General features: G+C 48.8%; 1 protein-coding gene across 4 annotated transcripts in view; it reads right to left on the reverse strand.

Annotated features, from left to right (window-relative positions):
- STK10 (serine/threonine kinase 10) overlaps positions 1-24086 on the reverse strand; it is a 146146-nt gene that overhangs the window by 32633 nt on the left and 89427 nt on the right. For 2 of the 4 annotated variants that reach the window (NM_005990.4, XM_047417627.1), the window contains 5 exons: positions 21715-21849; positions 18701-19249; positions 15521-15651; positions 8250-8373; positions 7615-7794 (listed from right to left, as the gene is read on the reverse strand). In NM_005990.4, the coding sequence (NP_005981.3) occupies positions 7615-7794; positions 8250-8373; positions 15521-15651; positions 18701-19249; positions 21715-21849 (1119 nt within the window). The remainder of the gene's footprint in view (positions 1-7614; positions 7795-8249; positions 8374-15520; positions 15652-18700; positions 19250-21714; positions 21850-24086) is intronic. The other 2 variants (XM_047417628.1, XM_047417629.1) reach the window with 2 other exon arrangements.

Here is a 24086-nt window from a genome sequence, read left to right on the forward strand (position 1 = left end):
ACAAAGTACTAATTAAAAAATTAGCAGCCGGGTGCGTTGGCTCACAACAGTAATCATGGCACTTTCGGAAACCGAAGCAGGCGGATCACTTGAGGTCAGGAGTTTAAGGCCAGCCTGGCCAACATGGTGAAACCCTGTCTCTAATAAAAATACAAAAATGAGCTAAGTGTGGTGGCGCATGTCTGTAATCCCAGTTACTTGGGAGGCTGAGGCAGGAGGATTGCTCGAACCCACGAGCTGCAGGGTGCAAGTAAGCTGAGATTGCACCACTGCACTCCAGCCTGGGGGACCGAGTGAGACTCCATTAAAAAAAAAAAAAATTAGCTGAGTGTGTTGGTATGTGCCTTTTGTCCCAGCTACTTGGGAGGCTGAGGTGGGAGCCCAGGAATTCAAGGCTATATTGAGCCATGATTGTACCACTGCATTCCATCCTGGAAGGCAGACCAAGACCCTGTCAAAAAAAGAAAAAAAAAAAAAAGTACTTCTGCTCTATACAAGACACTGTTAGGAGAAAAGACAAGCCACAGGCTGGAAGTAAATGTGGGCAAAATACAACATATTTGAGAAAATACTTGCATACAGAATCTAAAAGGAACTGTTGATATTCAGTAGTAAGAAAAATCACCCAGTTAAATAAACGGCCAAAGATCTGACCCAATACTTCACTAAAAAATACATATGGGTGCCAGGCGCGGTGGCTCATGCCTGTAATCCCAGCACTTTGGGAGGCCGAGGTGGGCGGATCTTCTGGGGTCAGGAGTTCAAGACCATCCTGGCCAACATGGTGAAACCCCATCTCTACTAAAAATACAAAAATTAGCTGCGCATGGTGGCAGGTGCCTGTAGTCCCAGCTACTCGGGAGGCTGAGGCAGGAGAATCGCTTGAACCTGGAAGGTGGTGGAGGTTGCAGTGAGCCGAGATCGTGCCATTGCACTCCAGCCTGGGCGACAAGAGCGAAACTCCATCTCAAGATAAATAAATAAATAAAATAAAATAAATACATATGGGTAGCAAGTGAGCACACGAAAAGATACTCAAATCATTAGTTGTTAGTGAAATGTGAATTAGAAACCACAATGAAACACCACTTTACACCTATCAGAATGGCTAAAAAACCTGACAATTGCAAGTGCTGGTGAGGACCTGGAGCAACTGGAACTCTTGTACCTCGTTGTGATGTAAAATGATCCAGCTCTTTTTGGAACAGTCTGGCAGTCTCTCATAAAGTCAAACATGCACTTACCACCTGACCCCAAAATCCCAGCAGCTATTCTTGTCTCTTCTTTCAATTCTTGGATTTATTTTTTTCATGGTCTTAGATTTGTAATCTGAATCCTTCTCCTATGTTCTTTGGCCTAATGGTCTTAGATCAGGGTTTTGCAACTTCAGCACTACTGACCTTGAGGGTGGAGAGTTCTTTGTTGTGGGGGCTGTCCTGTGCATTTGTTGTGGGGGCTGTCCTGTGCGTTAGTTGTGGGGGCTGTCCTGTGCATTTGTTGTGGGGGCGTCCTGTGCATTTGTTGTGGGGGCGTCCTGTGCGTTAGTTGTGGGGGCTGTCCTGTGCGTTAGTTGTAGGGGCTGTCCTGTGCGTTAGTTGTGGGGGCGTCCTGTGCGTTAGTTGTGGGGGCTGTCCTGTGCGTTAGTTGTGGGGGCTGTCCTGTGCATTTGTTGTGGGGGCGTCCTGTGCATTTGTTGTGGGGGCGTCCTGTGCGTTAGTTGTGGGGGCTGTCCTGTGCATTTGTTGTGGGGGCGTCCTGTGCGTTAGTTGTGGGGGCGTCCTGTGCGTTAGTTGTGGGGGCGTCCTGTGCATTATAGGAAGTTAGCAGCATCCCTGGCTTCTACCTGCTCAATGCCAGTAGCACTGCTCCCTTATTTCCCCAGTGGTGACAACCAAAATGTTTCCAGATATTGCCAATTGGCCCCCACGGAACAAAATAGTCCCCGGTTGAGGATCACTGTCTTAGAAGTCCTAGTAAAATATTTAAATCTTATTTGTGCCACTTCTGCTTCCATATCAAAGGGTCGCCTTGGAGATGCTATATAACCCTAGTTCAGCATCTGGCTGTGGTGTCTGCCAAAATGCCTTTCGACAGCACCATCTCAGGCATCATACAATTTAAAGGCCTCACGAGCTTAAAACTGTGCTGTTGCAAGCATGATTTCTTGATTTTCCAGGACAGACAATTAGAAGCAGCAGTTTAGTAAAGGATTTCTGCCAAAGGCACCAAAAACACGAAGAAACGTCACACCACTGACCATGGAGGGCGAAGGCAAAGGAACAGTAAAAGTAGAGTCACATGGGACCACTTGACAAAGGGGCACAGGACTTCCATCCATCAGTATCCCCCGAGGACATTCACATACCAGCACTGCTCTCCCGCTGAGATCTACTGACAGGCAGGGGCAGGGGAACTGCATGCTGCTGGATGTCAGAAAACCTGCATTCTAGTCCAGCTACGTGTCTTCAGAAAAGTTACTGAACTCGTTCGAGTTCCTCATTTTCTCATCAGGAAAAGCCATCTGGCTTTCAACTAAAATTTCTTTAGGGATCCTTCGAGGGTTACAATTCTGTGGTGTTACAGAGATCCAAACTATTTAATAGCTAAATTCTGTTTATTGAACTTTGCCCGGGAAGGCAGGAAAACAGAGTTCTGGAAAGATTTCCTTCAAGACTGGTTATATTTGTTTTCAGATTTCAGTGATCTAAGAAGTTACAACTGTCAAGCCAGTTTCTCATGGATGCTAGAGATTACTTGGTATATAGGAACTGAGTAGCAGACCATCAAGTCCCTTCTTACAGAGTTGTGAGAATGTATCCACATTAATTGTATATGCATATATACACATACACAGGAAGATGCAGTAAATTACTTGAAATTGACATGAAGAATAAATAGGTCCCTGTTCAACTACCTTGCTAATAATTATTTTTCCTATATGTGTATTTCCTTATTGAAAAGTGATTAGCATGATAAATATCCCACACCAATTGCTGTAATACTGAAGAGGGTCCCAGGAGGCTTCTCAAATCTTATTGGTTTTTTTTTTTTGGTGTGTGTTTCCCACGCCTGAATTTAAATTATGACATGCTCTCTCACACTGATTGGATCGTAGGGAAATGGACAGGGTACACACTTCCTTGCTCTGGGCTGGTTAAAGGAAAGTGCCTGTTGCATATGCGTATGGTCTCCCTCTCCAGCATCCACGTGTGAATTACTCTGTTGCAGCACTGGAATGGCTGATGCATCTGTAGGTAGTTCAGAGGCTGCTCACCTGGTGGGGGGGGTCTCGTCCCTTCTAATTCTGTCCATCACCCCTGCTGCTGCATCCTGACCACTATGTCAAGGGCAATAGGCCAGACCTCCCATTCCTACTTGGAATTCCTACTTCCTCACCCAGCACCTTGCAGCCCTCACAGAGGTGACCTTTGGAATCAGAGAAGGAGTTCTTAGGAGTGTGGAGTAGGCAATGGCAAGACAGTGCCATCTGGGATATCTGGGGTTGCCATGGAGCAAAGCCTCTCACTGGCCTCCTGCCATCGCTGTGTTACATAAGTAAACTGCAGAATCAAAGCAAGAAAGTTTGCCTACACAAAAGACCAGTAACTGGGACACCATCTTACTAAACGGTGTGAGCCCTGTCCTCAAAAAGCCAAAAGAGTCTGGGTGCAATGGCTCACGCCTATAATCCCAACAGTTTGGGAGGCCGAGGCAGGAGGATCACTTGAGGCCAGGAATTCAAGACCAGCCTGGGCAAGTAAGTGAGACCCCTATTCCTACAAAAATTTTTTTAAAAAATTAGCAGGGTCCCAAATACTCAGGAGGCTGGAGCAGGAGGATCACTTGAGCCCAGGAGTTCAAGGCTGCAGTGACCCGTGACTGTGCCACTGCATTCCAGCCTCATCATTAAAAAAAAAAAAAAAAAAAAAAAAAAAAAAGCCAAAAGAGCAAAGAAGTTAAGCTCTTTCTTTCCATGAAAACTTCTTGAAGAAAAACACCCATAGAAAAAGATATTTGAAAAAACTGAATGTGAGCGGAACCCCAGGTGCCAGATCCCACGCTCTGCCTCGTTCAGAGGCAGGCTCGAGAGCCTTCCTGGAACCCTGCTGGTGAGGAAGTCCAACTTTGTTAAGGGCAAGTTCTGGGAAAGGGTGAGGAGATCTGTGGCTTCCCCCATCCCCTCCTAAACTAGGCAACTTCCTCTGTCGCCTCCTCTCTCTCCCACTCTTATAAGTCCACACACACACACACACACACACACACACACACGGTGTGCACATGTGACAGGGCGCAGAGCCAAGGAGGGAATGGGCATCTACCCAGCTCTTATTCCAAGCAGATACTGGGTCTAACCCTGAATGTACTTCTCATTTAATGCTAAAACATCTATGTAAGGACAGGATGTTAACAGGATTATTAAAATAGCACACTCCTGCCTGTGGCCCACTGCCCTACGTGGTCTCTGCCTACCTGTCTGATTCTACCTTGTGCCAATCTCCCCTTTGCTTCCTAAGCTCCTGCTACATGGATGGTTTTCCAGCTCTTTGAACACTCCAAGCTCTTTCTCATACCTCAGGACCTCTGCAGGTGCTGTCCCACCCTCCTGGAAGGTTCTTAGGCCTCCCAGCATCCTTCTGTACTCAGCTTACATGTCATACACTGAGAGGCTTTCCCAGACCCATCTAAAGCAGATCTCTCCAGATCTCTAGTCAGCCAGTCTATATGCTTCCCTAGCATGTTGGCAACTGTTTTATTTGTTCAATATTGGACTTTTTGTTTGTTTGTCTGGCTTCTCTGGAAATTAACAGATCCGGAAATTAATAGAATATATACATATATTTATTTATTTATTTATTTATTTATTTTTGAGATGGAGTTTTGCTCTTGTTGCCCAGGCTGGACTGCAATGGCATGATCTCGGCTCACTGCAACCTCCGTCTCCTGGGTTCGAGCAGTTCTCCTGCTCAGCCTCCCGAGTAGCTGGGATTAAGGCACCTGTGATCATGCCTGACTAATTTTTTTGTGTTTTTAGCAGAGATGGGGTTTCACCATGTTGGCCAGGCTGGTTTCGAACTCCTGACCTCAAGTGATCCGCCCGCCTGGGCCTCCCAAAGTGCTGGGATTACAAGTGTGAGCCATGGCACCCGGCTGCATTAAAATTTTTTTTATCTTGATGACTGAGTTTTTGGGTCCTCTGAAATGTGCAGGTATACCTCATTTTTTCATGCTTCACTTTATTACACTTTGCAGATACTGTCATTTTTACAAATTGAAGGTTTGTGGCAACTCTGTGTCGAGCAAGTCTATCAGTGTCATTTTTCCAAAAGCATGTGCTCACTTCCTGTCTGTTCACATTTTGGTAATTCTCGCAATATTTCACATTTTTTCATTATTATTATCTCTATTATGACGATCTGTGATGAGTGAGCTCTGATGTTACTCCTGTAATTGTTATAGGGTGCCACGAGCCCATATAAGACAGCAAACTTAATCAATAAGTGTTGAATGTGATCTGACTGCTCCACAGACTGGCCTTTCCCCTGTCTCTTCCCCTCTCCTCAGGCCTCCCTATTCTCTGAGACACAACGATATTGATATTAGGCCAATTAATATCCCTACAATGGCCTCTAAGTGTTCACGTGAAAGCAGGAGTTGCGTGTCTCTCACTTTAAATCAAAAGCTAGAAATGATGAAGCTTAGTGAGGAAGGCATGGAGAAAACCTACTGGGTCAAAAGGAAGGCCTCCTACACCAGACGGTTAGCCAAGTTGTGAATGCAAAGAAAAAGTTCTTGAAAGATAAAAGTGCTACTCCAATGAACACGAATGATGAGAAAGCAAAACAGCCTATGCTGAGATAAACTTTGAGTGGTCTGGGTAGAAGATCAAACCAGCTATAACACTCCCTTATGCCAAAGCCTGATCCAGGGCAAGGCCCTAAATCTCTTCAATTCTGTGAAGGCTGAGAGAGGTGAGGAAGCTGAGGAAGAAAGGCTGGAAGCTAGCAGAGGTTGGTTCATGATGTTCAAGAAAAGATGCCATCTCCATAACGTGAAAGTGCAAGGTGCAGCAGCAAGTGCTGACGGAGAAGCTGCAGTGAGTAATCCTGAAGACCTAGCTAAGATCATTGATGAAAGTGGCTGCACTAAACAATGGATTTTCAATGTAGATGAAACAGCTTTCTGTTGGTAGAAAATGCCATCTAGGACTCTCATAACTACAGAGAAGTCAATGCCTGGCTTCAAAGCTTCAAAGGACAGGCTGACTCTCTTGTTAGGGTTTCATGCTGATGGTGACTTGAAGTTGAAGCCAATGCTCATTTACCATTTTGAAAATCCTAGGGCCCTTAAGAATCATGCTAAGCTGGGCATGGTGGCTCATGCCTATAACCTCAGTACTTTGAGAGGCCTAGGCGGGCAGATCATGAGGTTAGGAGTTTGAGACCAGCCTGGCCAATATGGTGAAACCCCATCTCTACCAAAAATACAAAAATTAGCCAAGCGTGGTGGTGCGTGCCTGTAGTCCCAGCTACTCGGGAGGCTGAGGCAGAAGAATCGCTTGAACTCGGGAGGCAGAGGTTGCAGTGAGCCGAGATTGTGCCACTGCACTCCAGCCTGGGTGACAGACTGAGACTCCATCTCCAAAAAAAAAAAAAAAAAAAAAATCAGGCTAAATCTACTCTGCTTGTGCTCTAAAAATGAAGCCACAAAGCCCAGGTGACAGCACATCTGTGTACAGCATGGTTTACTGAATATTGACTGGCTTTATTGCAGTATTCGCTTTATTGCGGTGGTATGGAACCAAACCCACAGTATCTCCGAGGTATATCTGTGCCTAAGGTGACTGCCTCAACTGCTCAGCTGGCCAGGAACCCTGGCTCCCAGAGGCAGCTTCCCAAGGCCTCTGGGATGCCCCCGAATGTCATGCCCACCATGGTAAAGTCTGGAATCTGGGCTCTGAGGTCCTCTGAGGACCACCCTCAGAGGCTGCTCATCCACTGCTACCAGTTGGGAGACTGGGAACAGCCTGGACTGGCGTTCCTGCCCTGGGGGCTTCCAGCCTGCTTGTCTCCTTCCTCCACAGAGGGAGGCATGGGCTGTTCTTTGACACTCAGATGCCTCTCTCCAGAGCAGCTCGAGAGATGTGCCTCAGGACCACATACCTCCTTCCATCCTCCCCTTCCCCTTCCAACATGGGGAGGAGGAGGAGGCAGAGAGGGTGGAGCATAGAGGGCATGTTGTATGTGCCTACCCACCCAGCACCCACTCGCCCTTCTGGGAACAGCATCTCAAATTCCCCCGGACCACCAGCCCTTCCTTCTTCCCCGCTCTTTCTCGGCAGGGGTTGCTAAGCTGGGAGGATGTAAAGGAAGCTGCCTGAGGCCACAGGGTGAGGCCTGCCCTGAGCCATAGCAACACAGAGGAAAGCAGAGTTCAGAAGATGGAGAAGTGGCTCCTCATGGCGCAGCTTGGGCACACAGATCCAGGCTCACCTGCTCCCGAGCTCTTCAGCCGTACCCCTCTGCTGCCAAGGTGAGGTTGAGGCCACGATCACTTGCAACCAAGAAGGCCCCTAATACTCCGAGATGCCCCTGCCCCCACTGAGCACATACTCACCTCTTTCTTCATCAGTTTGAGCTGCTCTTGGAACCTGGTGTAGTCCCGATCCTGCTCCAGGCGGATCCGCCTGGCCTCCTCCCGGCGGCGCACGGCATGGTCTTGCTCCATCTTCTCCACTTGCTGCTTTTGCTGACGCTCCAGGTTCTCTAATTCCGTGTCAAAGAACTTCTTCTTGGCCTGAAAGGAGCAGAAATTCTGAGAAACTTAGCGAAGTCACTTTATACCTGGGAGGGACATGGGAAGTGGAATGGGGAGAACTCAGAGCTTGTGATCAGACCTAAGCTTGAATCCCAGCTCTACTACCCCGTTGCTGTGTGACCTGGGGCAAGTTACTTAGCCTGAGTCTCCATTTCCTCATCTGCAAAAGGGAGACCAGACCATGTGTTGTTGCACGGTGCTCAATACAGGTTATTTCCCCTCTGGAGATCCTCCTGTGGGACTCAGGATCGCTGTGACCTTCACGGGGTTCTGTGTTAACAAGTCACTGCCTAACAAGATCGGGAAGCCCCCAGGAATTGGGCAATTGTTGTGAATTACTCTCCACTACCCAATCATTCCCACTATGTAGCTTCCACTGAGAGAACACCTGGAGGCAAGAAGCCCTGCAGGGTCCCATCTTTTCTCGCACTCACGTTGATTTCCTGTTCAAAACGTTTATGCATTTGCTCCAGCTGCAGCTCATGCTTGTTACTCAGCTGGGTCTGGTTCCGATGCTCTTCTTTCTGGAGCAGCCGAAGCTCTCGGAGTTCCTGGCGCCTGAAAGGTTAAAGGATACAGATATTTCACAGTAAGAAACTGGCTTCAGAGATCACAATATTTGCAACTTGGAACACTGAAGGTTGGATCATGGAGCAAAATCACACAAGTCTGGGGCACAGGCATGACTAGAACTCAGGCTTCATTTGATATTTATTGACAGACAAAACCTTAATAATCTTAATAAATAAAGAGTGCTTACAAATCAATAAAAAGGAAGATTATCCTAACCAAAAAAAGTGGCAAAGAACATGAACAGACATGAAGCAAAAGATAAAAAGAAATTTTAGAATCACCTATATAGATATAAAATACAAATGAAAAAGAAACTATAATTTCTTGATGTAGAAAACATAATGCAGAAAATTTGATGTAGAAACTACATTTTCATGATGTAGAAAATTTGATGGTAGAAACTGGTACATTTCTGGAGGACAATTTGGTAATAAGCTTATGTTTTTTGACATAGTAGTTTCCACTTCTGGATACTGATTTTAAAGAAATATTTATAGATGCACAAAACCACTGAATAAGAATATTCAGCTGGGTGTGGTGGCTCACACCTGTAATTCCAGCACTTTGGGAGGCCAAAGCAGAAGAATCACCTGAGGTCAGGAGTTTGAGACCAGCCTGGCCAACATGGCAAAACCCCATCTCTACTAAAAATACAAAAATTAGCTGGACATGGTGGCACACGCCTGTACTCCCAGCTACTCAGGAGGCTGAGGCAGGAGAATCGCTTGAACCTGGGAGGTGGAGGTTCCAGTGGGCCGAGATGACGCCATTGCACTCCAGCCTGGACTACAAGAGCGAAACTCCGTCTCAACAACACAAAAAAAAGAAAAAAAAAAAAAAAAAGAATAATCAGTCATTTAAAATGAATGTTATTTAGTAAAAAATTGGAAGCAAATGTCCATCAATATAGGTCTATGTAAATAAAGTATATTGATATGATGGAATTCTATACAACCTTAAAAAAATCAAGTTTTAGAAAATGTTTAATTACATAAGGAAACATATTAAAAATAATAATTCAGCTGGGCACAGTGGCTCATACCTGTAATCCCAGCACTTTGGGAGGCCGAGGAGGGTGGATCACCTGAGGTCGGGGGTTCAAGACCAGCCTGACCAACATGGAGAACCCCATCTCTACTAAAAATACAAAATTAGCTGGGTGTGGTGGTGCATGCCTGTAATCCCAGCTACTTAAGAGGCTGAGGCAAGAGAATCGCTTGAATCCGGGAGGCGGAGGTTGCAGTGAGCCGAGATAGCGCCACTGCACTCCCGCCTGGGCAACAAGGGCAAAATTCTGTCTCAAAATAATAATAATAATAATAATAATAATATTTATGAACAGATATGGAGTAATCTCTAGGTAAAAAAAAGCAAGATATTAAAGAATAGGTCTGTTATGCCACCTTATCTGGGAGAAAAAGGACAACAATGTCTCTGTACACACATATATGTATTGTTTACTTTTCTAGTATCTCTGGAAGGATTAAACCATAAAACACTAACACAGGAAAGGGAACTGGATTTCTGGTAGGAAAATGAAGAGGGAAATTTTTCACTGTTTATCTTCTTTCTTTTTTTTTTTAATTTCGAACCATGGACCTTATACAGGTAGAGTATCCTTTACTGAAAAAGCTTGGGACCAGAAGTGTTTTGGGTGTCAGATTTTTTTAGATTGTAGAATATTATACTTACTGAACGAGCATCCCTAATCTGAAAATCTGAAGTCCGAAATGTTCCAGTGAGAATTTGATGTCAGTGCTCAAAAAGTTGCAGATTTTGGAGCATTTTGGATTTTGGATTTTTTGATTTGGGATGTTTAACCTTTATTATCTGCTAAAAAATATATAATAAAAATTTGACCTAGGCCATGCGTGGTGGCCCATGCCTATAATCCCAGTACTTTGGGAGGCCGAGTTGGGAGGATCACTTGAGCTCAGGAGTTCAAGACCAGCCTGGGCCACATAGCGAGACCTCATCTCTGCCAAAAATACAAAAATTAGCCGGGCATGGTGGTGCATGTGTGTGGTCCCAGCTACTTAAAAGGCTGAGGCCGGAAGATTGCTTGAGCCCAGGAGGTCCAGGCTGCAGTGAGCCGTGACTATGCCGCTTGCACTCCAGCCTGGGCAACAGAGCAAGATCCTGTGTTAAAAAAAGAAAAAAAAATTGACCTAAGCAACATGCCCTAATTATATATATATATTTATGTTGTCAGTGTATGTGTGTACTCACAGAAAAAATATCGGAGGGATAAGCCCCAAGTGTTAACCACGTTTCTTAATGAGCAAATCCATTAAAAATTGCTATGTAGGCCGGGCGCGGTGGCTCACACCTGTAATCCCAGCACTTTGGGGGGCTGAGGCTGGCGGATCACTTGAGGTCAGGAGTTCAAAACCAGCCTGGCCAACATGGTGAAACCCCATCTCTACTAAAAATACAAAAATTAGCCAGGTATGGTGGTGCACGTCTGTAATCCCAGCTACTTGGGAGGCTGAGGCAGGAGAATGGCGTGAACCTGGGAGGCAGAGGTTGTAGTGAGCCGAGATCACACCACTGCACTCCAGCCTGGGCGACAGAGTGAGACTCCATTTCAAAAAAAAAAAAAAGAGAGAGAAAATTGCTACATATCATTCATATAATCGGAAAAAAAGAAAAAACCAAACTACTACAGAAAGAACCTAGGCCTCCTGACTGAACTGGAGGCTCCTGGCGGCCTCTCAGGGTTGGGGTCCGTGAGGCCTGTGTCCTAGTCCAGTGCGGCACCATGCTGATTCCCATGAGGCCACGCTCTGACCCCAGTGGCCTTCCTCATGACTCGGAGGGGCCATAACTGCTCACAGAACTGCCCCCCAAGAGCAGCACAAGGAGGGGTTGGGCAGTGCAGCGAGGCCAAGAGCATTCTCTGGGGTCGCAGCGCCCCTGTGTGAATCTAGGCTCAGTCAGCTTTCCAGCTGGGTGCCCGCTCGGGGAGTCACTTATCCTTGTGGGACTCACTCCCTCCTCTGCAAAATGAGGCTAACAATCTTTACCTGTTGGGTCCTTTGAAGGATAAATGAGATGACACAGGTAAAGTGCCCACGTGGCACATGACCAGCACTCTGTAAATGGCAACTGGTCGAATTCTACCAAGGAAGAAGAGGCAATGGCTGCCCTGCCTCTGGGAAAAGCCAGAGGCGCTTTCTACAGCCACAGAGGGAAGACTGTCTGAGCCTCTGCTTTTCTGGAAAGTGGGAAGAGAGGAGGCAGGTTTTGAGAGTGTTAACGAGGAAATGGAAATCCTGACTCAAGAGAAACTAAGGTTTAGAGAAGAACTGACAAAAAGCCTAAAAGGAGTACAGAAAGAAGGCAGGCAGCCAGCTCTAGCACTCCCTGGTCCACCTGTGCTCTCAGAAGGAAAGGCAAGCAAAGAGAAGGCTGAGGCTCAAGAGCGAGGGAACGGCAGAAGCCGTTTTAGGGAAGGACAGGAGGAACTCTGCCCGGAAGCCTCATCAGTCTGAGAATGTGATAAATGCTCAGCCACATGGTTCAGATGCCTAGGTGTGACCCAATTCTCCAAAAACGCCAGGGGTCAGGTATGACCAGGGGCCTGGGCCAGCAGGGGATGATCAGGGCCTTCCACACCCCTGTGGTCTGGTGGCCTGGCCTAGTTTACAGGCGCTCAGACCTCCAGACCACGGCAGGCAAGCGAGAAAATCCCGGTTCCTGCCGAGCACCTCTTCACCTCCTCGAGGTCTCCCCTTTTGACCCTGAGTAGCACACAGCTGCTCTGCTCAGGAGGAGGGTGGGGAACCACAGCCAGGGCCAGAGAGCACTGCTTCTCCATGGGGTGTGGCCAATCTAGAATTTATCCCTGAGAACTTCAATTGCCCAGAGGGGAGGTGATGGAAACCCAGCTCTTGAGGTTGAAACTCAGAGTCCAGGGTGCCTCTCAGGTGACCATTAGAACAGAAGGTGGTTTCATCTGCCAAAGCAACCTGTGCCCTAGCCTCCCGACCCACACAGATGACACCAGTGTGTGTGTGTGTGTGTGTGTGTGTGTGTGTGTGTGTGTGTGTGTGGTGTATGCAGATACACTAGTGAAAAGTCTGTTTTTCCTCCCTCTGTCTCCTAGAGGGAGAAGAGATCCACAACATCTAAAACTACTTTTATTTGGTTTTGGCTTATTTATTTATTTATTTATTTATTTATTTACTTTTGAGACAGAATCTCACCCTGTCGCCCAGGCTGGAGTGTAGTGACACAATCTCGGCTCACTGCAACCTCCGCCTCCTGGGTTCAAGTGATTCTCCTGTCTCAGCCTCCCGAGTAGCTGGGATTACAGACGCCGGCCACCACAGCTGGCTAATTTTTGTAGTTTTAGTAGAGACCAGGTTTTGCCATGTTGGCCAGGCTTTTCTCGAACTCCTGACCTCAGGTGATCCACTCGCCTAGGCCTCCCAAAGTGCTGGGATTACAGGTGTGAGCCACTACACCTGGCCTATGCTTTCATTTTTTACAATTTATTTTTTAAATTTATTTACTTATTTATTTTTTTTTTTTTTTTGAGACGGAGTCTCGCTCTGTCGCCCAGGCCGGACTGCGGACTGCAGTGGCGCAATCTCGGCTCACTGCAAGCTCCGCCTCCCGGGTTCACGCCATTCTCCTGCCTCAGCCTCCCGAGTAGCTGGGACTACAGGCGCCCGCCACCGCGCCCGGCTAATTTTTTGTATTTTTAGTAGAGACGGGGTTTCACCTTGTTAGCCAGGATGGTCTCGATCTCCTGACCTCATGATCCACCCGCCTCGGCCTCCCAAAGTGCTGGGATTACAGGCGTGAGCCACCGCGCCCGGCCTTAAATTTATTTTTGAGAGATAGAGTCTTGCTCTGTTACCCAGGCTGGAGTGCGGTGGCATGAACGCAGCTCACTGCAGCCTTGACCTCCTATGCTCAAGTGATCCTCCCACTTCAGCCTCCCGAGTAGCTGGGACTACAGGTATGTGCCCAGCTAATTTTAAAATTTTTTTGTAGAGACACTAGGTTGCCCAGATGGTCTCGAACTCCTGGGCTCAAGTGATCCTCTCACTTCAGCCTCCCAAAGTGCTGAAATTACAGGTGTGTGCTGCTGTGCCCAGCTGCATGGTTAAACGTTTAAAAAAATATGAGTATTAGGCCGGGCGCGGTGGCTCACATCTGTAATTCCAGCACTTTGGGAGGCCGAGGTGGGCGGATCACAAGGTCAGGAGTTTGAGACCAGCCTGGCCAATACGGTGAAACCCCGTGTGTACTAAAAATACAAAAATTAGCCGGGCATGGTGGCGGGCACCTGTAGTCCCAGCTACTCAGGAGGCTGAGGCAAGAGAATCGCTTGAACCCGGGAGGCAGAAGTTGCACTGAACCAAGATAGCACCACTGCACTCCAGCCTGAGCGACAGAGCGAGACTCCATCTCAAAAAATAAATAAATACATAAAATTAAAAAAATTTTAATTCACATGTATAAAAATATGTGATTAATGTTCTAGAAATTTTCTCTACACTAACCATGAATTTACCCTGCAAAGGCCTGGCCCCCAGGGGACTCCGTGGCTCCATGGCCTCCCTAAGTGTTAAGCTCCCCCAACCCCTGCCAGCTACATGGTCCAGTGAAACCTGAAGGAATTCTCACACACACAGACCCAGTTAGAATCTCAGCTTTACCCCTGCCTAACTGGAAGACCCAGGGCAAGTGACTTACTTGCCCAGAAATAGTGTTTCCTCATTTGTTTAAAAAATGTGGAAATAGGGTCTCCCGAAGGAGGGCTGTAAGTGGGGGATGAACAACTGAAAAGTATAAAGCTGATCCTAGCAAACAGCTTTGCCTCACACCTTCCTCCCTGTTCCAGTCCTTTACCAACTCACTGGTTTTGCCTCCAAAATGTAGGTCAAATCTGACCATGTTTTTCCCTCTTCCCGGCCACTGCCCCAGCCTGAGCCCAGAGCCTGCCCATCCTAGTCAAGATCTCCCTCTCTCCCTCCACCAGTCCCTTAAACAAGCTGAGTAGTTATCCCTCAGGGCCTCAGCAACTGCAATTTCCCCTGGGCTCCCCCAGCTCTCCTCCCCTTATCCTTTAGGCCTGGCTCAGGGGCTTCCCTTGGAGCAGCCTCCCCTACTCCAAGCACTCACTATCATGTCACCTGTTACTTGTTTCATGGCATGTACCACAATCAGGGATTATCTTGTGTACTGTATGTTGGCCCATTAGGTGTAAGTTCTACAAGGGCAATGGCCTTATCTATTTGGGTCACCACCTTGTCTCCAACCTGGTGGGTTGGTGGATACATGGATGGATGGATGGATGGATGGATGGATGGATGGATGGATGGATGGATGGATGGTTAGGTAGATAGGTGGAAGGCTGAATGGGTAGATGAGTGGGTGGGTGGATGGATGACTGGATGGATGATTGGGTGGACAGACGGAAAGGTAGATAGGGAGTAGGTAAATAGATAGATGGGTAGATAAATGGATAGAAGGATAAAATGGACGGATGGGTGATTGGGTGGATGGATAGATAAACAGATGGATAATTCGGCAGATGAAGGGAAGGATGGAATGGTGAGTGAGTAGAAGGATGGGTGGATTGTTAGGTGGATAGATGGAAGGTGAGTGAGTGGGTAGATGAATCAGTGGATGAGTGGATGAATGGATGGATGAATGGATGGGTGAATGACTGGGTGGATAGATGGATAGGCAGACAGGTGAGTAGGTGGATTGATGCGTGGATAAATGAATGGAAGGATGGATGATTAAGTAGATAGGTAGATGAATGGGTGGACAGTTGGATGGATGGATGGAAAGTTGAGTGGGTAGATAGGTGGATGGGTGGAGGGGTGAGTGGGTGGAAGGATGGGTAGACGGATGGGTGGATAGATGAATAGGTAGATAGGTGAGTAGGTGGATAGATGGGTGAATAAATGAATGGATGAGTGGATAGATAGGTGAACGGTTGGGTAGATGGGGGAGTGCAGGATCGCAGGCAAAATGAGTTTCCTTTTGCCTCCTTGATTCCCCCACTTCATGCTGTAGACAGACAGCCCTCTCACCAAAGGACCAATGCCCACTCCTCTTACCATAGCCCCACCCTGTTACCACCATTGGTGGCCCTTCCCAGGCTTGCCTGAGAAATCTCATCTCCTCATCCTTCTTCTCATCTTCGCTGATGATCTTGGAGGTGGTGATGCTCACCTCCACACCATCCACCACAAATTTGCGTGTCCGCTTGAGGGTTTTTTTGTACAGTTTCGGGTCCTGGCCAGGGAAAACCATTAGACAAGTCTCAGCATTTCAGCTAAGGACCCATGGCTGTCGCAGCAGGTGAGGCCACAGCTCTGCTGGGCCCACAGCTTCAGAACCACCCCCAGAGAGATGTGGCCATCCATCGTCCCTCTTGCCTCAACTTAACCTAGGAGCTGGGGGTTCTGAGCTTATTCCCTTGCTCTTCCCTGATCTCAGCCTTCAGAAACTGTGCTGAGGCCTCCCCTACCTTGCTGCCAGCACCTCTCATGCATCCAGGACATGGTGTCAGAAAGAGCTGCGTTCTTGCCAGGCACGGTGGCTTACGCTTGTAATCCCAGCACTTTGGGAGGCCGAGGCAGGCGGATCACAAGGTCAGGAGTTCGAGACCAGCCTGGCCAACACAGTGAAACCCTGTCTCTACTAAAAATACAAAAAGTAGCCAGGCATGGTGGCAGGTGCCTGTAATCACAGCTACTTGGGAGGCTGAGGCAGGAGAATCACTTGAACCCAGGAGGCGGAGTTTGCAGAGAGCTTAGATCACGCCACTGCACTCCAGCCTGGGCCATACAGCTAGACTCCGTCTCTAAAAAAAAAAAAAAAAAAAAAAAAAAAAAGAGCTGCGTTCTAACCCTCACTGCACCACTTACTTGCTCTGTGTCTCTGGGCCAGCCTCTTGTCCTGTCTGAGCCTCAGCTTCCTCACCTGTTCAGGGAGGATAGTCACACTACTTGCCTCCCAGGGTGGTTGTGAAGATTCAGTGAGAGAACACATGGCAGGCACACAGAGCAGTGCCCACTCCCGGCCTGTGTTCCATGCTTAGCATTTCTTTCTGACAGTTATTACTGCAGACCACACACAATCCTCGCGCATGGTGCCAAAATCCAAAGGAGCCCGAAAACCAAAGGCTGTTTTTATAACTGGTTTGGTAGCCAAAGCTGACCTGGCCTGAACTCCCCACCTGCTAGGAGTCACCATGAGATTACGCATAATCGTCATCTTTTCCTGTGAGTAATCGCACACGCCACAAGTGATTGTGCAGGTGCCACCTGGGATCCTGGAGGTGTTTGTGTGTCATAATACGTGGTACCCTCTGGAAGTTCTCAGCTCTGATTCTGAAGGTGTCCCCATAACCCTCCCGCTCTGCCCACTGCCTCTGGCCTCTTGGTTGGTTTCAAAGCCTCTTTTTTTTTTTTTTTTTGAGATGGAGTCTCGCTCTGTTGCCCAGGCTGGAGTGCAGTGGCGCAGTCTCAGCTCACCACAACCTCTGCCTCCCGGATTCAAGTGATTCTCCTGCCTTAGCCTCCTGAGTGGCTGGGATTACAGGCATGCGCCACCACGCCCGGCTAATTTTTTAATTTTTTTAAGTAGAGACAGGGTTTCACCATGTTGGTAAGGCTGGTCTCGAACTCCTGACCTCGTGATCCACCCGCCTTGGCCTCCCAAAGTGCTGGGATTACAGGTGTGAGCCACGGCGCCCGGCCCAAAGACTCTTTTTGGTGTAGCCCAGCCCTGCCTTCCTAACACGGGGCCTCCCAGCCCCTGAAAGAGGAGTGAGGAGCCAGCGTGGCAGGTCTCTTGACCCCTTGAAATCTATGCTGAGCTCCACTCCTGCTGAGTCGAGAGGGGCAGACTGTTTTTGCTCCCTGAGGTCTGGGCCCCTGTCTCCTGCCCATGGCACCTCGCCCAGGGGCTCTGGACAGCATCAGCATGGACCCAGCATGCCCGACTCTCATCTCTCTACGGTGACCAGCTCACATGTGCCAGGACCCAGTCAGGATGGGTCAGGCCAGCAGTGAGAAGTAGAGGCCGGCAGGAGTGAGAGTGGAGGGGAAGAAAGGGCACCCACAGCCACAGCCCTCTGCTGAGAACTGCTCCTGGCCAGGGGGCCTCCATCCCTGAAGGAACAGGCTCCTAGTCACGCCAGGGGGTGCCGGCACAGCGGGGGACTCTCATGAGAACGGCCTGAGGTCCCTGACGCAATGCAGTCAACCAGAAACATTCTCCACAGCCTTGAGAAGAGCAGGGGAGCCCCTGCTTTAGGTGGGTCTGTCTCATTAAAAAAACAAATAAAAACACCTTTTTTTCACTCAGTGTCTTCAGGAAGAGAAGTGGCAGGATGCCGGTCCTAAGGAAGACGCTGCTCACAGGTAACAGCTGCTGTGCATGCTTGTCCCGGTGGCCTGTTGGAACTGTGCTTCCCTTCCCTGCCTAAAGCTGATTGGCCGTTGCGGCTCCTGTCACTCCCCTTTGCTTAGCAAATATGTTCGAGTCTCTACTGCGTGTTTTTCACCAAGTACATTTGGGAAGGAAAAACAAAATCATACAGTATTTCCTCTAAAATGAGCTTTGGGTAGAGGGTCAGGTGACCCATGGTGAGTTTAGTAACACCCCGGGATTTATCGGGGAGGCCAGGAAAGGAGTCAGCCCCTTCCAGCTCCCTAAGAAGGAGGCCATGGCTCCCACTGGGAAGGTTTAGAGTTTGGAGCCTGGGGTCTGTCCATCTTCCCACTCCTACCTGGCCCTGGGCTGGCTCCTCACTTCTCTGAGCCTCCATCTGCTTATCTGTAAAGTGAGAGGATGAAGGAGCCTGTCTGTTCTTTTTAAAGCACTTTGTACAGGGTTCGCCTCAAGCCCAGGCCTCTAGTGCGGTGGCTATCGTCATTCGCAACACTGCCCACCTCCAGAAAGGCCCCGGAGGCGGGGAAGATGGCTTTGAGCTGTTTCCTTTAGTTGGATTTACCAGTTATCAGCTGGGTCTCGTGGCTGACCTCTGGATGACAGAACTTCATTTGTAGCTAAGGCCTAAGAGTTCTCTCTCCCAAATTTTACCAGGGCCTTTTACCAAGCTTTGAAATTTAAACCCAAACCAACTGCTTTACATTCCTAAATCCCATATTGAACCCAGATATTTTGGAGATTAAACTATGAGTCAAACCCAAAACCCCCTAATGAACCACTTAAAATGCAAGGAAGCCCCTAAATGCTTTTGAAACCAAAATGGAGCCACAGAACATCCTGCAATGGTCTTGCTGCAAGCCCGTGGTGGCAGAGGCGGTGTTACCTTGATGGACAGAGAGCCCATCTCTTTGTTCAGCGACAGGTCAGTGGAGAGATTGGTACCATAGTCCATGCTCTCAGAGGTGCAGAGGCTGCTGCAGTCCGAGTCCCTCTTGGAAGGCCCTGGAGCTGCCTGGGCAGGTGGCTCCAGGCTGCCATTGGCCAGCTTCTCCCCACCCAAGGTCTCCAGGGCGCTGCTGTTGGGCCGGCTCTGGCTGGCCTTTTGAGATCTGTTGGCTGCTGGGCTGAGGTCCCCACCCTGCTCAGCAACTTGCTTCTCCTGGGCTACCTGAATTCTGGCATCCATTGACACGGGTCGGGACTTCCGCAGGGGCACAGGCACTGCCAGGCCGTTCTCATTTCCAGGGGCCACGACTGGGGGACTGGTGGTTTGGAGGGATCTGTCCCCAGAGGGCTGGCTGCAGGGCTCATTCACACTGTCCTGAGACTGGCTGGGTGCCAGCGGGGTGGAAGGTGACTCCTCGAGAGGCTTGTCAGCATTGAGGCTTGGCGGACTCACCTCAGAGGAGTTCTGAGTATGGTTCTCCAGGGTCTAGAAAAATATATATATATATATTAAAGGCCATGCTGCTGTATGTTCAAGGCAAGAGTCAGAGATGCAGTGGAGAAAGTCAGACACCCTCAAGATGAAGTGGGCCAGCGCCAAGAAAGGAGAGCAGATATCTCCCTAGCCAGTCTTCAGCACTCCCTATTGCCTAACCGTAATACAATTACTACTTATTTTGAGGCATGGCAATCTCCTCACTATCTCTAATCTCAGCTGAATGTAATAGCTGTTATTCCTGCTAGGAGGCAGCTGTGGCCAGCTGGCCAGCTCATGGCCCACAGGGAGGGGTCAGTGGCCGCTCCATTCCAGCCAATTGTGACAATGTGGGAAAATGGCTCCCCTGTGGCCAAACCTTCCCAGTTTTTTAATTTTAATTTTTTATTTTATTTATTTATCTATTTTTTTGAGACAGGGTCTTGCTCTGTCACCCAGGCTGGAGTGTAGTGGTGCCATCTTGGCTCAATGCAACCTCCACCTCCTGGGTTCCCACCTGGGAGTGGTCCTCCCACCTCAGCCTCCCGAGGAGCCTCCCGAGTAGCTGGGACTACAGGTGCATGCCACCACACCCAGCTAATTTTTGCATTTTTTAGTAGGGACAGGGTTTCAGTATGTCACCCAGGCTGGTCTCAAACTCCTGGACTCAAGTGATCTGCCCGCCTCGGCCTCCCAAAGTGCTGGGATTAGAGGTGTGTGCCACCGCACCCAGCCAAACCTTCCAATTTTTTAAGACAAGTTTGAAATCTAGGTTTTTAATGGACATCTCTTAATTTTTAGGTGGCAACTAACTCATATTTTTTAAAAAATCATATAAAGGCCAAGCCAAGCCTGTCTGGGGACTGGATTCAGCCCTTGTGGCCACTAAGTTTTCAGCTTCATTTTTGTTTTTTAGAGTCTTTGTTGGGTGGAAAGTACTGGAAATGTTGCTATGCTAAGGTGAAACAGAACATTCTTCCTGTGTATAAAACATAAACATCCAACTTGGTGAATAGAGTGAGTATCCATGTAGCCACTTTCCAGGTCAGGAGGGGACATTGCTTTGCCCCAGAGGGCCATCCCCTGCCGCCCCGTCCTTCTCAGTGGCAATGCTCTCCCACCTCTTGACATAGTCACTGTCCTATGGTCTCTAAGTGCTACAGATGAGCTGTGCCTGCTTATAAACGTGGTATGAATGGATTTATACTATAAGTATTCCTTTGGGTCTTGCCAGCCACCGGTTTTTAACCTCAGCTATGGCAGCTGGTGGAAGCAACTCCAATCTACCTTCTAGTCAACACCCAGAGTGATGGCTCAAAAACGCAGATCTGATTCTGTCACCTCCACCCCAATACCCAGTCCCTGCCTGAAACCCTTCGGGGCTCCCAATACCCACAGGACAAAGATCAGCCTCCTGCATGCAGACAATGAGGCCAGGTGTGAGCGCTTTCTACCTCCTCCTGGAGCCAGGCCCCACTGAGGTTCTCCTACTCCAAATCCACCCCTGGCCCTGCCATCTATCGGCTCAGCCAGCCACTTCACTGTATCGATCTCAGTTTTCCTGTCTGTAAGCTGGAGCTTGGTTACCCTGTGTCAGAGCTGTAGAGGGCCCGGCAGCCACCAGGGGCTCCATGCATGGCGGGGGTGGTTGTGATGATTCCGCTTGCCCTGCCCTTCGGGCTTTCCTTCTTCACCCTGGTGAGGGTCTGCGCCAGCCTCAGGCTCCACCCAGGACTGAATTAAATTTGAGGAAGCTGCAGTGCCGTCCACAGCACAAGGATGTGGGCCAGCTCCATCCCCTGATGGGTAAGTCCAGCCCCTGCTTCTCTAGGCACAGGGAGCCACCGGGATGGCCACCCTATCCCTGGGAAGAGGCCTCCCCAAGTAAGGCCAGGGATTACGGAGCAACAGCTTGGGCCAGAATCCAGCCCACAGACATGTTTTCCTTGGCTCACAGGGTTTTTACAAATTTAAATTAGCTTTAATTTCAATCTAAATCCAGCAAGCACTGAAGCTGCAAAAGAGTTCCAAATGTGCCCAGACATGGGTCCCCTTGGCACTGAGGGCAGCTAGAGGGGGGCCAGGGTGTTGCCTGTGGCCATATGCAGCCTCCCATATTTATCCCAAAATGAGCTAAAAACAGTCTCATTTGGTATGTGAGCTGTGACAGGAACAAAGGATGGGAAGCCATGAATCAGTTACCAACTTTTAAAAATTGGAAGATTTCATGTGAAAATCTAGATCTCTGGTATCTCCTGAAAACTCACAGGATCGGGATCTGGCCAACACCCCCTGCTGCCTCACCCCGGCCCACATGCCATCTTACGTTACCTGCAGCGTGGGAGTCTGCAACCTCTGAGCTGGCAATAAATTGCCTGAGCCAGAGTCCTGGCCTTCCCTGCCCCTCCCACACCAGCAGGGCCAGCTGAGATCCTGTCCTCCCAGCCCCCGCTAAGCCCCACTCTCCCTGGCCTTACGGAGGCGGCATCCACGGCGTCCTCCTCTTCCCCCTCATCCCGGCCGTCTTCGATCTCTTCCATCACCTCGGCCTTGGCCTCAGCCACCAGCTCCCGCAGAGCCTTGTTACTGGTGATGCTGCTGACGAAGGGATGCTGAGGGGGCAAGATGCACCCAGATTAGAACCACTCTGGGGTCACGGTGGGGTGGAAGAGGCTGGGGGAGCTCACCCCCGGGGCAGAAAAGGCCAGCCTCATTCCTGAGCAAAATGTGCACATGAACTTGGAGACCCAGAGACAGCCTGGAAAGTCCCAAGTGTGTTGGAAAGAGGGCAGATCCCAGCTGTGTCTCTCAGCGGCTGTGTGACCTTGAGCATGTCACTTAACCTCTCTGAGCCACAGGCTCCTCATCTCTCAAGTGGACACGTTAACAATGAACCCACAGGGAGGTCATGCGGATTAAATGAGATCATGCACTTGAAAATGCTTAGCCCAAAGTAGGGGCTCAAGCCGTGTTTGCAAGGGAGGGTGTCTATTTTCCTTTTTAAAAGGTTTTAATATATAGTTTTATAAAATATGCTACATACATTTTGTTGAGGAATAACATTCCTACAGCAAAGTTCACAGGTTGTAAAGCTCAATGACTTTTTTGAGACAGAGTTTCACTCTTGTTGCCCAGGCTGGAAGGCAGTTGCGCAATCTTGGCTCACTGCAACCTCCACCTACCAGGTTCAAGGGATTCTCCTGCCTCAGCCTCCCAAGTAGCTGGGATTACAGGCATGTGCCACCACGCCAGGCTAATTTTTTATATTTTTAGTAGAGACGGGGTTTCACCATGTTGGCCAGGCTGGTCTCAAACTCCTGACCTTAAGTGATCCACCCGCCTCAGCCTCCCAAAGTGCTGGGATTACAGGCGTGAGCCACTGTGCCCAGCCTCAATGACTTTTTACATATATATGCACGCACCGTAACTGCCACCCAGCTCAAGATACAGAACATTTCCATCACCGGGGAAGGCTCCCGTCTCCCTTGGCAGGCAACCCCACTCCCACGCCGCCAGCCTCGGGAGCCTGCTCCTCAGCTTCCTAGAAACAGAGCATCGTGTGTGCAGTCTTTCGCGTTGGCTTCCTTTACTCAGCGTCATGACTGTGAGATTCACCTACATTGTCGCCTATTTCAGTAAACTGTTCCTGTTTTATTTCTGTGCAGGGTCTCACTGTATGACTACGGCACAGTTTGTTTATTCATCCTGCTGCTGCTGGACATCTGGGCTGTTTCCCATTTTTGGCAACTATGAATAAAGCTGCAAGAGACATTCTCGTATATGTCTTTGGGTGGACATATGTGTTTGGTTTTAAGAAAGGAAATACAAGATCTTGAGGCAGAGTGGTGTATGTTCTATTCTAGGTTTTTATACAAATGTCAGAGTCTTATTTAAAAGTGAATGTTCTTTTACGGACCTTGCAAAACGCCAAAGCAAAAGGTCTCAGCGATATTAAGTCAGTGTGAGGTATCCTGAGTGAGGGCACCCGGGTATAGCCAGGGATGTGGGATTCCTCAACCCACCACGCTCACCGAAGGCCACTGGGAAAGGAATGATGGGGTGGGGTGGGAGGCATCATGAAGCTAGAATTTGCTCATTTACAATATACAGGAAGGCTCTGATGAAATTCACTGTTTTTACTCTCAGACAATTTATCCGGGGAGGAAGTGTCAACAAGATTGCTGGGGAAGTATTTAAACGACTAAAAAACAAATTTCTAGCACCTGGAAAACACATTCAGAACGTATATGTTCATCACAAATCATTCTTATCTGTTTGTTCATTTAAAACAGTTCATTTGGCCGGGCGCGGTGGCTCAAATGATAAACAAGAGAATTCCAGATCTTGTATAGCTGAGGGTGGTGGAGACTAAAGTCTGCAGGCAGAGGGGCCTCATTCAAGGTCAAATTCAAGCTGAGACCCAAGGGAAAGATCTGGGCACAGAGAATTCCAGGCAGAGGGAGCAGCTGGTACAAAGAAGGCCCTGAGACTGGACTGAGCTTGTTGGGCGGCAGGAGCCATGAGACGGGCAGGATGGTGGGACACACAGGATGCAGAGGAAGGATGGGCCGTGTGTGCAGGTGAGCCACAGAGACTGTCCTCACAAGCCACCAACAGGCTGCAGTGCAGCAGTGATATTCACTACTACCCTTTAGAGATGTCATTCTGGCTGCTCTGTACTTTTAAGAGGTCTTGAGTGGGGCGTTAAGGGTTTACTAATCATAGGAGGCAAAGTAGCATGCAGTTAAGAGTGCTGGCTGTAGACTCTAGAACCAAGGCACCTGGTAAAATCCAGCTTCCACCAACTTGGGCAAGTCACTTAACCCTGAGTCTCAGTTTGCTCATCTAT

The sequence above is a fragment of the Homo sapiens genome, chromosome 5 (genome assembly GCF_000001405.40).
Source record: "Homo sapiens chromosome 5, GRCh38.p14 Primary Assembly".
Classification (NCBI taxonomy): Eukaryota; Metazoa; Chordata; class Mammalia; order Primates; family Hominidae; genus Homo; species Homo sapiens.